Source organism: Homo sapiens, chromosome 10 (assembly GCF_000001405.40).
Source record: "Homo sapiens chromosome 10, GRCh38.p14 Primary Assembly".
NCBI classification, from domain to species: Eukaryota; Metazoa; Chordata; class Mammalia; order Primates; family Hominidae; genus Homo; species Homo sapiens.
Window position 1 is genome coordinate 28,711,005 of NC_000010.11, and position 17,063 is coordinate 28,728,067.

Sequence of the window (17,063 nt, forward strand, 5' to 3'; positions counted from 1 at the left end):
ACTGGATGGTGGGTGGATGGACAAAGTGAATGAACTTGGTCATGGTGTCTAGGGCCATTTATCTGGCAGGAAAGACTAAACTGAGAATGTGAAATCTCTGTGAGCAGGAGACTTTCAGAACACTTGACTCTGTCCCCAGAGGGAGTCCCAAGTTCATCAGCTTAGAGCAGGGGGCTTAGGCCCGGCTTTGCCAAGATTGTCAAATGCTCTTTTTATTGAAAGACATCCTTGAAGACAATTGCAACACACCCTGTGAGTAATTCCTTATGGCAGAAGTCAAGGCCAATCTATGCATGTATCTCTGATTCAAATGGCTGTTGTCATTTGGGAATAGAGACAGAAATGAAAGGGAAGGACAGCAACATCTTGTCACTAGGCTTGCTTTAATGCTTGATATGGCATTCAATGCCATTAATAAAGCTTCTGTACAAAAAACGAAGTACCCTCCAACCCCCGTTAAAAGAGCAGTTCTCAACTGGGCTTGGTTGAGAATCCCAGCACTTTGGGAGGCCAAGGTGGGCCCATTACTTGAGGTCAGGAGTTCGAGACCAGTCTGGCCAACATGGTAAAATCCTGTCTTTACTAAAAATACAAAAATTAGCTGGGCATGGTGGCACACACCTGTAATCCCAGCTACTCAGGAGGCTGAGGCAGGAGAATCGCTTGAACCCAGGAAGCGGAGGTTGCAGTGAGCTGAGATTGTGCCACTGCACTCCAGCCTGGGCGATGCGGCGAGACACCGTCTCAAAAAAAAAAAAAAAAAAAAGAATAGTTCTGCTGGAGCAGACCTTTCGGGGGTCTAAAATAAAGATTTTCAAAGGCTACCTACAGGTACTCGGTTTCAGTTTTGTTTTTTTTTTTTTTTTTTCCCACAGACAGGGTCTTGCTTTGTCACCAGGCTGGAATGCCATGGCGTGGTCATAGTTCAGCCTCCTGAGCAGCTAGGACTACAAGCATGCACCACCATGCCTGACTAACTTTTTGTGGAGATTGCATCTCACTATGTTGCCCAGGTTGGTCCTGAACTCCTGGACTCAAGTGATCCTCCCAACTCAGGCCTCACAAAGTTCTAGAATTACAGGTGTGAGCCACTGCACTAGGCCCCAGTTCTCTTTAAGTATCATAGGTCCACTAGGCAGACACTCCATGCTATAGATATTCTTCAGTAGATTCCAAACTTTCTTCTTACTACATGAGCATTTGAGCAAAATTAGAAACTACAGATAAATAAAAAGAATATAAAAACCACTGTAATGTCAACACCCAGAAAACTTAATACCCAGGGACAACCACTGATAACACCTTGGTACTTGTCCATTAGTATCTTTTTATAGACTTGGGGATATGTGGACAAATGTATCTTATAGAACCTAAATCCCTGCTATAATCTGAATGTTTGTGTCCCCCTAATTTTTTTTTAATTTAGATATGGGGTCTCACTCTGTCACCGAGGCTGTCATGGCAGCCTCAAACTCCTGGGCACAAGTGATTTGCCCACCTCAGCCTCCTAAGTAGCTGGGACTACAGGTGCACGCTACTATGCCTGGCTTTTTGTAGAGATGGGGTCTCACTCTGTTGACCAGGCTAGTTTTGAACTCCTGAGCTCAAGCAACCCTCCTGCCTACACATCCCAAAGAGCTGGGATTACAGGTATGAGCCCCTTCACTATTCATGTATTGAAATGGAATCCCCAGTGTGTAATCGTATTGAGAGATGGGGCTTTTGGGGAAGTGATTAGGTCACATGGGCTCCACCCTCATGCATGGGATTAGTGCCCTTATAAAAGAAGCTTAAGAGAGGTGTTGGCCCCTTTCCTCTTCTGCCCTGTGAGGACACGTAGAAGGCACCATCTATGAGGAATGGGCCCTCAAGAGACACCGAATCTGATGGTGCCTTGATTTTGGACTTCTCAGCCTCCAGAACTGTGAACAGTCAATTTCTGTTGTGTACTAATTACCCAGTCTAAGGCACTTTGTTATAGCAACTTGAATGGACTGAGACAATCCCTGGTCTTTTTTCTTTTTTTTGAGATAGGGTCTCACTCTGTCACCCAGGCTACCGTACAGGGCATGAGCATACCTCACTGCAGCCTTGATCTCCTCGGCTCAAGCAATCCTCCCATCTCAGCCTTTCCAGTAGCTGGGACTACAGGTAAGCACCACCACCACACCCAGCTAATTGTTTTATTTTTTGGTAAAAAAAAGGGGTTTCACCATGTTGCCCGTGCTGGTCTTGAACTCCTGGACTCAAGCAATCCTCCTGTCTCAACCTCCTAAAGTGCTGGGATTACAGGCATGAGCCACTATGCTCAGCCCAACAATCCCTGATCTTAACGGATTTTGTTTGCCGACAGTGCAGCCCCTGCAGAATACCATATTGCTGCTCACCTCTGCAGCCACTGCCAGACAGCCTGTACTGGAAGGGTAAGGCCTTTGGTGGTGGAGGATCTAAGCTGGAGTCCCTGTTCCTCCAGTCCCCAGCTCTGTGATCTTGGGGGTTGGTCCCCATCATCAGAGCTACCATTTGTTAAGAACCCATTATGGCCAGGCGCGGTGGCTTACGCATGTAATCCCAGCACTTTGGGAGGCCGAAGTTGGCAGATCATGAGGCCAGGAGTTCGAGACTAGCCTGACCAATGTGGTGAAACCCCGTCTCTACTAAAAATACAAAAGTTAGCCTGACATGGTAAAGAAAGGCTCCCGAGTGAACAGAATTGATGCTGCTTTGCAAGCATGAATTACAATCTTTGACATGATTCAGCAGGACTCAGGCTGCTGAGCTCAGTCACGAGTACTCCTTCCCTTCCTGCTCCTTCCCTCCTTCACCCTTTTCCCTGTGCTGTCCAGCACATCTTTATTCTGGGTTGTGCTGGACACAGGGCAGGCATGCTGATCCCCATCAGAGAGGATTTTCAGAGACCCCACGAAACAGGGAGACGTCCAGGGCAGCAAGTATCCCATGGGGGAAAAGTGCCACTTAGATTTCGTGTTGGCTGAGCAGGCCACTAGATGAAAGGGAAAGGCATCCGATCATTGAGTTCAGACAAGCCCAGGCTGGCTTTTCAGGACAAACTCTAATCTCATTTGATGTGTTCGATTTTTTTTTTTTTTTTTTTTTTGAGACAGGTTCTCGCTCTGTTGCCCAGCTAGAGTGCAGTGGTGCCATCACAGCTCACTGCAGCCTTGACCTCCTGGGCTCAGATGATTCTCTTGTTCAGCCTCCCAAGCAGCTGGGTCTATAGGTGTGCACCATCATGCCTAGTTTTCTTTGTATTTTTTGTAGAGATGGGGTTTTGCCATATTGCCCAGGCTATGTCTTCGATTTTTAATGCAAGATTCTGATGTACCTGGGAAAAGCTCTCTAAAACCCAGTGTCGGTTCTGGAGAGGTAGAGGCAAAAGATAGAAGAGTTGCTACTGTTCAGGCTACATAGTGCATTTCCTTTAAGATACGACCTCTTATTCAGACAGCTAGACCAGTCGTCTATATTAGTGTATTCTAGATAGAGAGCTATTTTTTGTTTTAAAGGAATGCTACTTAGAAAGGTCATCAAAAGGTCATCAAACCTCTTGTTTATTTACTGGTTTTGAAGATCAAGTTTCCTGTTAATAGATGTTGGACTCCAGTAGAGGGCAAGACTCTCAGTCTGGTTCCCAACAAGAGGATTGAAATTGGCAAAACAGGTTGAAAGGAAAGGGTAGTTTCTCCTTTAAGTGGAACGAAGCATACGTGAGCAGAATTTAATTGCTTACAGTTCCCAAGGTCTTTTCCCCCCTTTTTTATAGAGCTGAAATCCCTCAGAAATGGTCCAAGATCCAAATAATGTTCTTATCTGTGGTTTTCTTTGGAGATCGTTCAGCAGTAGACACAGATATCCAGACACGTACCCAGCTCTGTTGTAGGGAGCTCTATATATGGAGGGGGCAGGTGTTGCCAAATGGTAAAACACTGCTCGCTTGCCTCCCCTGTCAGTCTCAAAATGGAAAACTTATTTTATTCACAAATGTGACTTTAAAAATGCCAAGTTCCAAGATGCCAATATAAATTTGATATATTTTGAACAAAGCACACCCAAATTACTCTTTGATCACACTTTATCTTTTCAATGAAGATGGGAACTCCAGCATGGAGTGCCAGAAAATGGACTACAAGACATCGTCTATACTCAGCAGCCAAGATAGTGTTTCATGAAGCCCACTTACCTGAACGGGGTGCATCTAATTGAAGCATTTAGCCTTCGGTATGGGTTTGTACTTAACAGCATCCAAATGGTTGTTCTTTCTAGTTTTATTAAAGGAGCCGGATCCTTCTCATAAGTTTTCCATTAATGGGATTATAAGTTGATATAATTTTAAGTCTAAGAATGCAGAACTGGTATGTGGTAAACATAAACATGTGTTTGGTGTTAGATGTAAACTAGTGTAGCCAAAGTGGGCAAGTGCTGTAAACTTCAAACATAAAACAGATGTAAGGTAATTAGAGGCATGAAAGTGATGACAACGGCAGCGAACTGTAGCAATAAATGGATTGTTAGTTTAGGCAGGCATCACTGTGGCCCTGGTGGATTTATCACGTTTCTAGCTGCTGTGTGAACTTGATGTTACCCTTCTTTTTGAGAACACAAGTGTTGCTTTTTTAAAATTCAAAGGCAGGAAGTACAATTCAGAAGGATGCAAATGATAGGCTTCATTTTCTAAGTATGTCTGAAAAAGTTGATTGGCATTGCCTATTTTAAAATGCATTAACTAGTTGGCGGGCAATTTAAAAATTTTATTTCAACTCATTCTCTAATCTTAGGAGCAAACACTTAGACCACTTCTGGAGAAGTTCAACTGGCTTGTAGACAAAGGGCACAGCCTAGGCTTCCTCCCAGTAATTTCCTTAAAAAAATTTTGTTTTTGAGACAGGATCCCATACTGTCACTCAGGCTGGAGTGTAGTTGTGCAATCCCAGTTCACGGCAGCCTTGACCTCCTGAGCTCAATGTAGTCCTCCCACATCAGCCTCCCAAGTAGCTGGGACTATAGATGCATGCCACCATGCTCAACTAACTTTTTGTATTTTTAATAGAGATGTGGTTTCACTGTGTTGCCCAAGCTGGTCTTGAACTCCTGAGCTCAAGCAATCTGCCCACCTTGGCCTCCCAAAGTGGTGCCATTACTCTGTGTGCAGGTGACAGGGGTATATTTTAAGGAATATTTTTAGCCTTGGAGCAAGTTTTATAGTTGAGTACGACCAATGTGGAAAAAACTCTTTCTGTGCTTTTCTGATACCCAACAAGTAAAAAGCTAGAAGTCTTGGATCTGGTGGGGGATGAGACCTATGGTATTTTCCTCCTAATGTACCAAGTGAGAAGAACAACACTTTTGGCTGAGCTCTTTGTCACTGGAAATCACTATTGTCTTCTGTGGCAAGTTACTTTTAAGTTAGTCGGACCCAGATCAACCCAACTCTGATGCCATTACTGAGTATTAAATTCAAGTTTTAAAAATCATACACCAGCACAATGGATAAAGATCTTAATTCATTTTTGCATCAATTGATATAAAAATGTGCCCTTTGTCCATGTGTCAAGCTTTGAAGGCATTGAAGGAAGATGGCTGTTTAATGATGAAGATGAAGAAGAGCCTGAAAATGCTAAAGAGGAAGAATGATAACAGCTTGTTATTGGCAGGACAAAGGGGCCCAAACAAAGGAAGGCATTGCTATGGTTTGAATGTGTGCCCCAAAGTTCTTGTGCTGGGAACTTGATCCTCAGTGTCGTGGTGCTGACAGGTGAAGCCTAATGAGGGGTGTTTGGTTTATGTGGGTACTGCCCTCATGGACAAATTAATGCTCCTATTGTGGGAGGTGGTTCCTTATAAAAGGGTGAGTTTGTCCCTCACCACCTCTTCTTGGCCTTCTGCCTTCCTCCATGGGGTGACACAGCAAGAATGCCCTCACCAAATGCCAGAGGCTTGACCTTGGACTTCCCAGCCTCCAGAACTGTGAAAACATAAATTTCTGTTCATGATAAATTACCCAGTTTTAGGTATTCTGTTGTAGGATCACCAAATGGACTAACACAGGCATGCAGTTCAAACCACTTTTTATTTTAAAGTGCAGCCCCTTCTGGGAAAATGAAAGCATTGTGTGGTGGTTTTTTTTTTTTTTTCCTTTTGTCTTGTTTTATAGAGATGGGGTCTTGCTATGTTGGCCGGGCTTAACTCAAACTTCTAGCCTCAAGCAATCCTCCCACCTTGGTCTCTCAAAGTGCTGGGATTACAGGTGTGAGCCACTGAGCCCACCCTGAGAGCACTGTTAATGAAGTGGCCCTCTCTTCTTTTATGACACCTAGATTGAAAGGGGACATAACTGTTACATCCAGCCAGAACCTTCAACTCTCAACCTGCAGCCATAATATCATTAAGCCTCATAAAATTATGAATGCTCACCACTCCTTCCACCATTGCCAGTTTCCAATTTTAAAACAAGTAAAATACTCCTTTCAGGAGCAATATTTCCTCCACTTTTCAGGGGTTGGTGTCTATCTTAGACAGAAGGGAGCTGGACTTGGGGTTAAATGACCTGCAAGTACTAATTTTTAGGAAAGTGAAATGCTCCGAGCCTCAGCTTCTATCTTGGTAAAATGGGGATAATAATATTTGTCCTTCCTACCCTCAAGTTGCTGAATGAAATGATGAACATGAACATGCTTTGTTAGTATTATTCTTGCTGTGTGTTCATGTTGTTATCTGTGTGGAAGGCTCTTCTTTCCTGCTCTACCCAGCCAACTGCTATAGTGCCTTCGAGACCCTGTTAATATGTCACTTCTTCTGCTGTTTCTTGACTTCTCTCCAGGGCTTTCAGGACATTCCGTTTCTATGTTTCTAGCTGTTATTGCACCTACCACATTGTGTTGTCATTGTCTATTTACATGTTCACCTCTCCAATTGGACTCTGAGTTCTTTGAGCTCACAGCCAGTGTCTTATTCACTTTTTTCCCTATTTTTCTTTCTTTCCTTCCTTCCTTCCTTCCTTCCTTCCTTCCTTCCTTCCTTCCTTCCTTCCTTCCTTCCTTCCTTCCCTCCTTCCTTCCTCCCTCCCTCCCTTCCTCCCTCCCTCCCTCTCTTCTTTCTTTCTTTTCTTTTTTTGTCAAGGTCACTGTTGCCTAAGCTGATGTGCTGTGGTGCCATCATAGCTCATTGCAGCCTCCGACTCCTAGGGTCAATGGCTCCTCCCACCTCAGCTTCCTGAGTAGCTAGGACTACAGGCACACATTACTGTGCCTAGCTAATTTTTTCCCTTTTGTTTTTTTGACACAGGGGTTTGTTCTGTTGCCCAGCTGGAGTGCAGTGGTGTGATCACAGTTCACCATAACCTCGACCTCCAGGGCTCAATCGATCCTCCCACTTCAGTCTCCCGAGTAGCTGGGACCACAGGTGTGAGCCACCATGGATGGCCTATTTTATTTTATTTTATTTTAATTTAATTTTATTTTATGATGGAGTCTTGCTCTGTCACCCAGGCTGGAGTGCAGTGGTGTGATCTCATCTCACTGCAACCTCTGCCTCTGGGGTTGAAGTGATTCTCATGCCTCAGCCTCCCGAGTAGCTGGGATTACAGGTGCACACCACCACGACTGGCTAACTTTTGTATTTTTTAGTAGAGATGGGGTTTCACCATGTTGGCCAGGCTGGTCTTGAACTCCTGACCTCCAGGGATCCATCCAACTTGGCCTCCCAAAGTGTTGGGATTACAGGTGTGAGCCACCACACCTGGCTGCCAGTCCATTTCTTAAACGTCTTTGTAACACCTTCAATGTAGAAGACATGATAATCAGTACTTATATATTGAATAAATAGGTCCTTACCTTTATCATAATAATTTTCCTCCATTTTTAACCACTATAATAGTCCAGGGCAACATCAAATACGTATTGCTCCCCTTTCTGCATTTATGTTCATATACATCAATTGATTAATAAAATTTCACTTATAAAGTATGGCTGTGGATACCACTTTTGGCAACTATTTGTAGTTGAGAAGTCATGGGACCATTATGGCTCCTGCCCCATGTTAGTCTAAGAAATTATTGACTTGGCACGGTGACTCGCACCTGTAATCCCAGCACTTTGGGAGGCTGAAGAGGGCAGATCACTTGAGCCTAAAAGTTTGGGACCAGCCTGGGAAAGATGGTGAGACCCCATCTCTACAGAAAGCTGAAAAATTAGCTAAGTGTGGTGGTGCATACCTGTGGCCCCAGCTACTTGGGAGGCTGAGGTGGGAGAATTGCTTGAACCGAGGAGACTAAAGCTGCAGTGAGCTGTGTTCATGCCACTGTGCTCCAGTCTGGGTGACAGAGTGAGACCCTATTTCAAAAAAAGAAAGAAATTTCATCATTTAATTCAAACGTTGAAGTTTGTTGTTGTTGTTGTTGTTTTTGAGAGCGTCTGCTATTGGTGCCATGTGGCAAAGATATTGTGAAGTTATCTTTAATTTCTGGCTATGTTAAACTTTTTTTGAATGAAAAGAACATGGTGAATAATGCCTTGTATTGGCACTCAATATGTATTTGTTAATTCATTTTGAACTTAATTAATGCATACTATCTATTGCACTCTTTCTGATGTTAAAGGGCAAACCGTGGGGGGATACAAAGCTGAATAGATATAGTGTGGTTATAGAGGAGCTTAAAGTACAATTTTGGAGATAAGACAACACACTTAAAACATAACTTTCAATAAAACTCTATGTCAATCAAGCACTCTAGCTATAAATTGTGAGATGCGGTAAATCTCTTTGAGGGAAAATAATAATCCTTAGGTTCTAACAACAGGTCGTTTGTATGAAATTATTTAAAGATGTAAAATATTATACATATATTTATATGCACAAGATAAGACAGAGGAAGACGTAGGGAGGGAGAGAAAGAGAGGAATGTTTTGATTAAATAACAGACTGCTGAGTCACGTTTCCTGAGTTTAAATCCCACTTCTGTTACTGGCTGTGTGACCTTGGGCACAGTTTTTTGATCTCTTTAATTCTCAGTTTTTGGTGAAATGTGAACAAGAATAGTCTTCTTCATGGTATTATTGTAAATATGAAATAAGATGTATGTAAAGTACTGGACACACAACTCATATGCACGGAATTTTAAGGTTTTTTTTTTTTTTTTTTTGAGACAGGGTCTTCCTCTGTTGTCCAGGCTGGAGTGCAGTGGTGCAATCATAGCTCCCTGCAGCCTCGAACTCCTGGGCTCAAGTCATCCTCCTGCCTCAGCCTCCTGAGTACCTGGAACTACAAGTGTGCATCACCATGCCTGGCTAATTTAAAAATTTTTAAGAGACAGGGTCTCCTTTGGGAGGGCGAGGCGGGTGGATCATTTGAGGTCAGGAGTTCGAGACCAGCCTGACCAATATGGTGAAACCCAGTCTATACTAAAAATACAAAAAATTAGCAGGGCATGGTGGCAGGCGCTTGTAGTCCCAGCTACTGGGGAGACTGAGACAAGAGAATTGCTTGAACTCGGGAGGTGGAGGTGGCAGTGAGCCGAGATCGTGCCACTGCACTTCAGCCTGGGCAACAGAGCGAGACTCCATCTCAAAAAAAAATTGAAAAATAAAATAAAGAAATAAAAAAAGAGAGTCCCACTATGTTGCTCAGGCTTGAATTTTACGTATTAATATCTAATATTTGCTAAGCACCTGCTGTGTCAGGCAGTGTTCAAAGTTTTATTATCATTATTATTAATTTTATTTCATTTTATTGTTTTATTGAGACAAGGTCTTGCTCTGTTGCCCAGGCTGGAGTGCAGTGGTGTGATCACCGCCCACTGTAGCTTCAATCTTCTGGGCTCAAGTGATCTCCTACCTCAGCCTACCAAGTGGCTGGGACTACGGGCATGCACCACCAGGCCTGGCTAATTTTTTAATTTTTTATAGGGATGAGGATTTTCCATGTTGCCCAGGTTTGTCTTGAACTCCTGGGCTCAAGTGATCTGCCCACCTTGGCCTCCCAAAGTGTTGGGATTACAGGTGTGAGCCACCGCACCCAGTCATTATTATTTATTATCTCATTAAATCCTCTCAGCAATCCTTGAGTCGGTGTTTGTTTCACAGATGAACTAACAAATGTGACTCTTTGCACAATGTTACCCATGTGAGTAGCTTTTGCTCAGTAAATTATTCAATCGTTCATTAATTGAATTGTGCAAATGTCATGAGTGACATATCTAATGTACTGAGCACAAAAATACTGGTATGTTAAACGGAGTGCAGCCCTACTGTTTGTTGTCATGTGTTTGTACATGCCTGGTGCCTTTCCCACTTCGGAAGTGGGGCAGAGAACCCAGGGGAACAGTCTGAGGTAGGCTCTGGATTTGGGGCAAAGGCTGCCATTGTCATCTAATGACAGTGTTCCACAGTTAGAGCTGCAGTTGCTGGAGAGCAGCTTCTCCCTTGTAATTAACCGTTTGGCTGCTGAGCCTAGGGTGGCTTTGAAAGACACCCAGGTGACAGTGGGGTGCCTGTGGTCCCAGACTGTGGAATTACACGGAGTCAAGAGCTAAATAGCCTCTCCCATCTACTCATTTTCTCTTAAATTACATGTGATTAGGAATATAATTACCACTCCTTACTCTTCCCCCTCAAAACACTATTTTCCTTTCTTCGCACAGCGCTTTGATAGGGAAAAAAACAAACCAAGGTTGTGCTCAGCGGTGGGCAAGGCTGAGGATGGGAGCGAGAAGCCAGGCGGTGACAGAGGGGATGGAGCCCACCCTCTGTGGCACTGGCGAGCTTGGAAGTTCAAAAACAAAAAAATCCAAGGGCAAGAGTGGTAATTAGAAAATGTATGCAAAACGCTTTGATTATTGAAATCGTACCTGCCTAGGGGTCCTGGGAGAGCCTGAAATGATATGTGTGCTCACGTTAGAATTACAAAGCTCAGCTGTTGATCTTCTTATTTTGGGAATGTCTATCCCTCTAATTACTTTACAGTCCAAATGATTTAAAAAAAAAAAAAAAAAAGAGCAGGGAGCAACAGACAAGCCCAAATTGCTGTGTTTAAAGGAGCAGGGCTGTCTGTTTGCGTGGGGCTGTCTCCCTGTAATGAGAACCACCGCTGAGAGCTGTTTAGACAAACGGGCTCAGCGCTCCGGAGCCGCGCGGGCCTCCAAATGCAAGGGTTTGTTCTGCTGGGGCAGCGTCTGTCGCGAAAGCAGCGGCGGGGAGGAAGCGCAGAGCTGTGTTTTGAATTAATGGGTTCAGCTTCATGTTGAGCACAAGTGGGAGGCTATTTTAGAGAAACCTTCCCAGGCCAGCCGTCACTGATGTGGCAAACTCAGCCTCTGGGCAGACCGGCTGGAAATAGAAACGTCTCCGCTTCACGATGGCGCACGCCCGGACGTCCCCTTCCGAGAGCGGGTCCCCTTTGTCCCCCGAGGCCCCGCCGCCCTGTGTCACGTCCCCACCTCGCTCTGGGTCCACTGATCTCTTGATGCACGCGTCCCATCAGCAGCAGCCGAAAGAGGGTGCTCGGGCGGGAGTGAAATCCCTGTGAAATGTGATCAAGAACACAAAATGCTGAGGCAGCTCCAGCTAACATCAGCGCTCAGTCTCCCCGCCCAGGTGGGATCCTCCAAGCGCCTCAACGCACCGCCCATCCCGGTGCCAGGTGTAAATGCGCCCCAGCAACACGTGGCTCTAGGAGCCGCAGGGATGGCATCCCCTTGCTGCAGAAGACTCAGCCACGTGAGGTCAATGTTCATTTCCGCAGAGGTGCCTCTCTCTGGGGGGGCCTATATGTGAATCCACCTAGGAGGAGCTCGCTGAAGAATTGGTATTATTAAAGATAGCTTAGCTCGAGCAGATTTTCTCACGTTTCTAAGCGACTCGGAGAGGACTTACACCAAAGGCATTTCGCTTTTGCATTGATTTCTTAATTAAAAAATATCTTTCTTTTTCCTTTGGCCCAGGCTGAAAGACCTTGGAATTTCTTGTGAAAGTCCTGGGGGAGGTGGGGGGTGGCGAGGGGGTTTTCAGAGCATTGAAATCACTTTTCTCAGATAACTGGAAAGAGACCCCCAACTTCTTGATGACTACATGGACAGATGGATTCCTTATTTGCAAAATCTTGAGTGTTTCTAACTTGTTCTGGAGAAGGAAGAGCAGATGAAGTCAATACAACCCAGGCACATAAGTTAATTTTCCAAGTTGATGAACTTGGCCACATTTCTACAACATTAAGTCTCCCCTTTGATGCTTGAAGAATTAATTCCCGCCCCCCCAGCCCACCGTGTAAAACATCTACACATATTATTTTTTACTGTTGTTGCTGTTAAGGGAAATTTTTTGACCTAGTAAATTTAAAATCCAAAGGAGTGATATGATATAGTGTATACATAAGATACAATGAATTCTCTGTGATGCAGTTGTATTAATCCATATTCTCAACTGTGATGAGGAAATACATGAATCCTTCCATTTTTTCCCCCATACAAAATCATGTTTGCTTGTTTGTTTGTTTGTTTGTTTTGAGAGGGAGTTTTGCTCTTGTTGCCCGGACTGGAGTGCAATGGCGTGATCTTGGCTCACCACAACCCTCCGCCTCCCGGGTTCAAGCGATTCTCCTGCCTCAGCCTCCCAAGTAGCTGGGATTACAGGCATGCACCACTCCACCTGGCTAATTTTATATTTTTAGTAGAGACGGGGTTTCTCTATGTTGGTCAGGCTGGTCTTGAACTCCCAACCTCAGGTGATCCACCCGCCTCGGCCTCCCAAAGTGCTGGGATTACAGGTGTGAGCCACTGTGCCCAGCCTAACAAAGTAACTTTTTTGTTTTTGCTTTTTTGCTTTTTTTTTTTTTTTTGAGACAGAGTCTTTGCTCTGTTGTCCAGGCTGGAGTGTAGTGGCACGATCATAGCTCACTGCAGCCTTGACCTCACTGGCCAAGAGAGCCTCCTACCTCAGCCTCCTGAGTATCTGGGACTACAGGCACATGTCACCACACATGGTTAATTTTAAAATTTTATTTTTAGTAGAGACGAGGTTTCATTATCTTGCCCAGTATGGTCTTGAGCTCCTGAGCTCAAGTGGTCATCCCACCTCAGCCTCCCAAAGTGCTGCGATTCTGGGTGTAAGCCACCACATCTGACCTGTAATATTTTTGGTATTTATACAGTATCATGCTTTGCAAAGAGCAATCATATTTAATAATTTAATTTCTTGCCTTCCCGCTTAATCCTCTGGAAAAGTTGGACTGCTTGTGTGGTAAATTCCAGTTTATAGGTGGGCAAGATTGTTGTGTGCTTGTTACCTTCACTTGGGCCAATGGGAAAGAGGTTGGAAACCACCTATTGATCATGTCTAATTTGTGCATATTTCCACTGACCTGTGTTGCCAACCCTGACACAGGCCAGGCTGTGAACCAATTATACCTGAGATCAATAGCAGCTCTTCATATAGTGGGTGTTCTTGCCAGACTGACAGTCTGTTAAAGGCAGATGTAATGGCTAGATGCAGAGTCTAGCCAAGAAAGGATTTTGCAGTGCTGTATGTTGGGTCATTAAATATCTGGCATAAGAGAAAGTTAAACTTATAAGATGGTAGCATCACCTCTTGGGACTAGGCAGAAATTTAGTGGATTTTTGCAGAATACCAGAAAGTGGAAAATTTGAAGTTAAATTTGATTTATATATTGAATTTTAAGACTGATAGAATATAACTTTTTCTCTCTTTCCTCCTATCTTTTCCCAAAACCAAATTAAAATGAATGATGATAACAACTGGGCTTTTAAATTATGGTAAGGTCTATGGCCATACCACTCTGAAAATGAACCCCATCTTTTCTGATAAATGATGGTAAGAAGAAAACAGATTAAGACATTATATTGGGAACTTTGGACTTAGGACATTGGAGAATCCTACAAAATGGACCAAAAGATGCTTCTATCATCTGATCAACTTCAGGCTTGGCCCTATGTAGAGAGGCATGCTCTTTCCATTAACTTTTTCTTTTTTTTTTTTTTTTTTGAATTTTTTAGTAGAGATGGAGTTTCACCGTGTTAGCCAGGATGATCTCAATCTCCTGACCTCGTAATCCGCCCGCCTTGGCCTCCCAATCCATTAACAATTTATGGTGGATTTTTTTTTTTTTTTTGAGATGGAGTCTTGCTCTGTTGCCCAGACTGGAGTGCAGTAGCACGATCTTGGTCCACTGCAACCTCTGCCTCCCAGGTTCAACTGATTTTCCTGCCTCAGCCTCCCAAGTAACTGGGATTACAGATGTGTGCCACCACGCCTGGCTAATTTTTGTATTTTTAGTAGAGAAGGGGTTTCACCATGTGGGACATGATGGTCTTGAACTTCTGACCTTAAATGATCCACCCGCCTCGGCCTCCCAAAGCGCTGGAATTACAGGTGTGAGCCATCGTGCCCAGCCAATTTTGAATTTAAAAAAAAAGTTCTGGGCTGGGCATGGTGACTCATGCTTGTAATTCCAGCTCTTTGGGAAGCTGAGGCAGGGGGATCACTTGAAGCCAGATGTTAGAGACCAGCCTGGACAACACAGAGAGACAACAAAAAATTTAAAGAAATTAGCAGGGCATGGTGGCACGCAACTGTAGTCCCAGCTACTTGGGAGGCTGAAGCAGGAGGATTGCTTGAGTCCCAGAGTTCAGGTTACAGTGAGCTATGATCGCACCATTGCATTCCTGCCTGGGAGATGGGGCCAGACTCTGTCTCTAAGAAAATAACAAACAAACAAAATTTCTAGATGGTTGCATTAGCCCCCATTTTCTGGGAAGTAATTTTATCCTCATTTACATATTTTAGAGGTACAGATCCGACCCTTTCCCAGCCCCTTTCACTCCACCCACCCCACATAAAGGTTTACCTAAACACAGCCATCAATCACAGCCCTCCCTTCAGGAATTTCGAGTCTTTTATTCATAAGAGAACAGAGTATATTGTGGCGAAAATGAACTCAGGTCAATCCACCATAATGTCTGTGTGTATAGCAATTGGGCAATCAAGTAAAGAAAATGCCAGCATGGATGATTAGAAATGTAAGCTCTGTATTCAAAACCAGGCATCAGGGGATAATTGTGACAGGGGCCAATTCAGTAGAAAATGATTTTTCTTGTGCCACATATTGTAGTCAAGGGATAATTTTGTTTTTGTTTTGTTTTTCCCCAGGGCAGCCCCATGAATATGAAGATACTTGGAAAGTCTTTACTACAGAGCATGATTTCAGGAATGATGAAACAATAAACGAGAATCTGGTATTAATAATCTGTGGGTTTTAAATTTTATGCCATTCAAAGATGTGAGGACCAGTCATTTCATGTATCCTACAAAGTGGAACATGCCGTGGGACACACAGATTCATGATTCATGAGGAGGTTGGATGTCCGACAGTAAACATTCACACACACAATTTGAGTCTTTGGTGCTTACTGGCTGTACTTTGATAATACCTCATCAATTCAAACCTCTCAAAGCCAGATCTTGGAATGAAACAGGTTGAAAAGACTGAGAGCTGAAGCTTGCCTTTGCATAGTTGACAGCCTTTGCTCAGCAAACTAAGAGTCGCTCATAGTTGATGACCAAATAAAATGCAGAGGATTTGAGAAGCACAAAATAGGGAGGGAGAAACCATCAAGAGGCTAAATACGATTTATTTAAGTTCCCCATCAGAACAGACTTCCTACAGGCCTCAACACAGCAATGTGTTATTAACCCACAGTATGCTCTAGAAAGGACATATGAGCTGCCTTTCTTGTCAAATATCATCTTCTTCCAGAGCACCCCACCCATTCATCTTTTGTAAAGATCAGACTTGGAATAAAACTGCGTGAAGAGATTTTTGTTTTTGTTTTTTTGAGACAGAGTCTCACTCTGTCGTCCAGGCTGGAGTGCAGTGGCGTGATCTTGGCTCACTGCAACCTCGACTTCCTGAGTTCAAGCAATTCTTATGCCTCAGACTCCCAAGTAGCTGGGATTACAGGCACCCGCCACCATGCCTGATTAATTTTTGTATTTTTAGTAGAGATGGGGTTTCACCATGTTGGCTAGGCTGGTCTTGAACTCCTGGTCTCAGGCCATCCGCCCACCTCAGCCTCCCAAAGTGCTGGGATTACAGGCATGAGCCACTGTACCTGGCCTGCAAAGAGATATTTTAATAAAGACAGACCAGGAAAGTTGCTCCATTATCTCAGTTAAGAAGGAAAGAAGGAAAAGGAACAGTTTTCTTCCCATGGGCACACAAAGTATTTCTGCTAGGAAGACTTCAGACTACATCTCTCCACTTGTCCTAAGTAGAATTTGCAAGGCCTTCTCTCCACAACTACTTACCCTTGCAACTATCTGATTGTAGAGATGGAGTGATGAGCTTCGACTGTCTGTCCCCACCCAAATCTCATCTTGAGTTGTAATCTCCAAGTGTGGAAGCAGGGAAGCGATTGGATCGTGGGCGCAGTTTCCCCCATGCTGTTCTCGTGATAGTGAGTGAGTTCTCACGAGATCTGATGGTTTTATAAGTGTCTGGCATTTCCTCTGCTTGCACTTCTCTCTCCTGCCGCCATGTGAAGAAGATCCTTGCTTCCCCTTCACCTTCCACCACGATTGTAAGTTTCCTAAGGCTTCCCCAGCCATGGGGAATTGTGAGTCAATGAAATCTCTTTCCTTTATAAATGACCCAGTCTTGGGCATGTCTTTATGGCAGTGTGAAAACGGACTAATAATGGAGCATGATGAATGTGGCTGAAACATTCTGCATCTCGTACTTTGATAAATTTACCTGTATATCAGGCAGAATGTTCTCTGGTCAGACCAGTACTTGGAGCAAAAGAGGGAAGAGGAAAGGCCCACCTGGGCCCTGATATCCTGGGACACACAGCTTGGTGGCCTGGTGGCCTGGCTTATACCTGATTCCTCCCCAGAGGTAATTTGTCATTGTGTCTGGTCTCGTTCTCAAGAAATGTAAGTGCTGTAGTGAAAAGCTGCTGTCAAATGCACACCTGTGTGTGTGCTTTCAGGCTGACGCTGGACACACTAAGGGCATGAAGTGCCTTGTGGAATAGAAGA

General features: G+C 44.1%; 1 long non-coding RNA gene across 1 annotated transcript, besides 1 other annotated feature; it reads left to right on the forward strand.

The window, feature by feature from the left end:
* Positions 1–2,113: 2,113 nt before the first annotated feature.
* Positions 2,114–15,269, forward strand: LOC107984170 (uncharacterized). The gene is made up of 3 exons (XR_001747283.2): positions 2,114–2,151; positions 4,111–4,239; positions 15,174–15,269. It is a non-coding gene; the product is annotated as an uncharacterized LOC107984170 (long non-coding RNA).
* Positions 10,980–11,481: an enhancer, noted in NCBI's record as "H3K4me1 hESC enhancer chr10:29010913-29011414 (GRCh37/hg19 assembly coordinates)". NCBI's record gives its function as "activates a minimal SCP1, AML or CMV promoter by ChIP-STARR-seq in naive H9 embryonic stem cells {active_cell/tissue: H9 hESC(naive)}" and the evidence as "EXISTENCE:reporter gene assay evidence [ECO:0000049][PMID:30033119]".
* Positions 15,270–17,063: the final 1,794 nt, after the last annotated feature.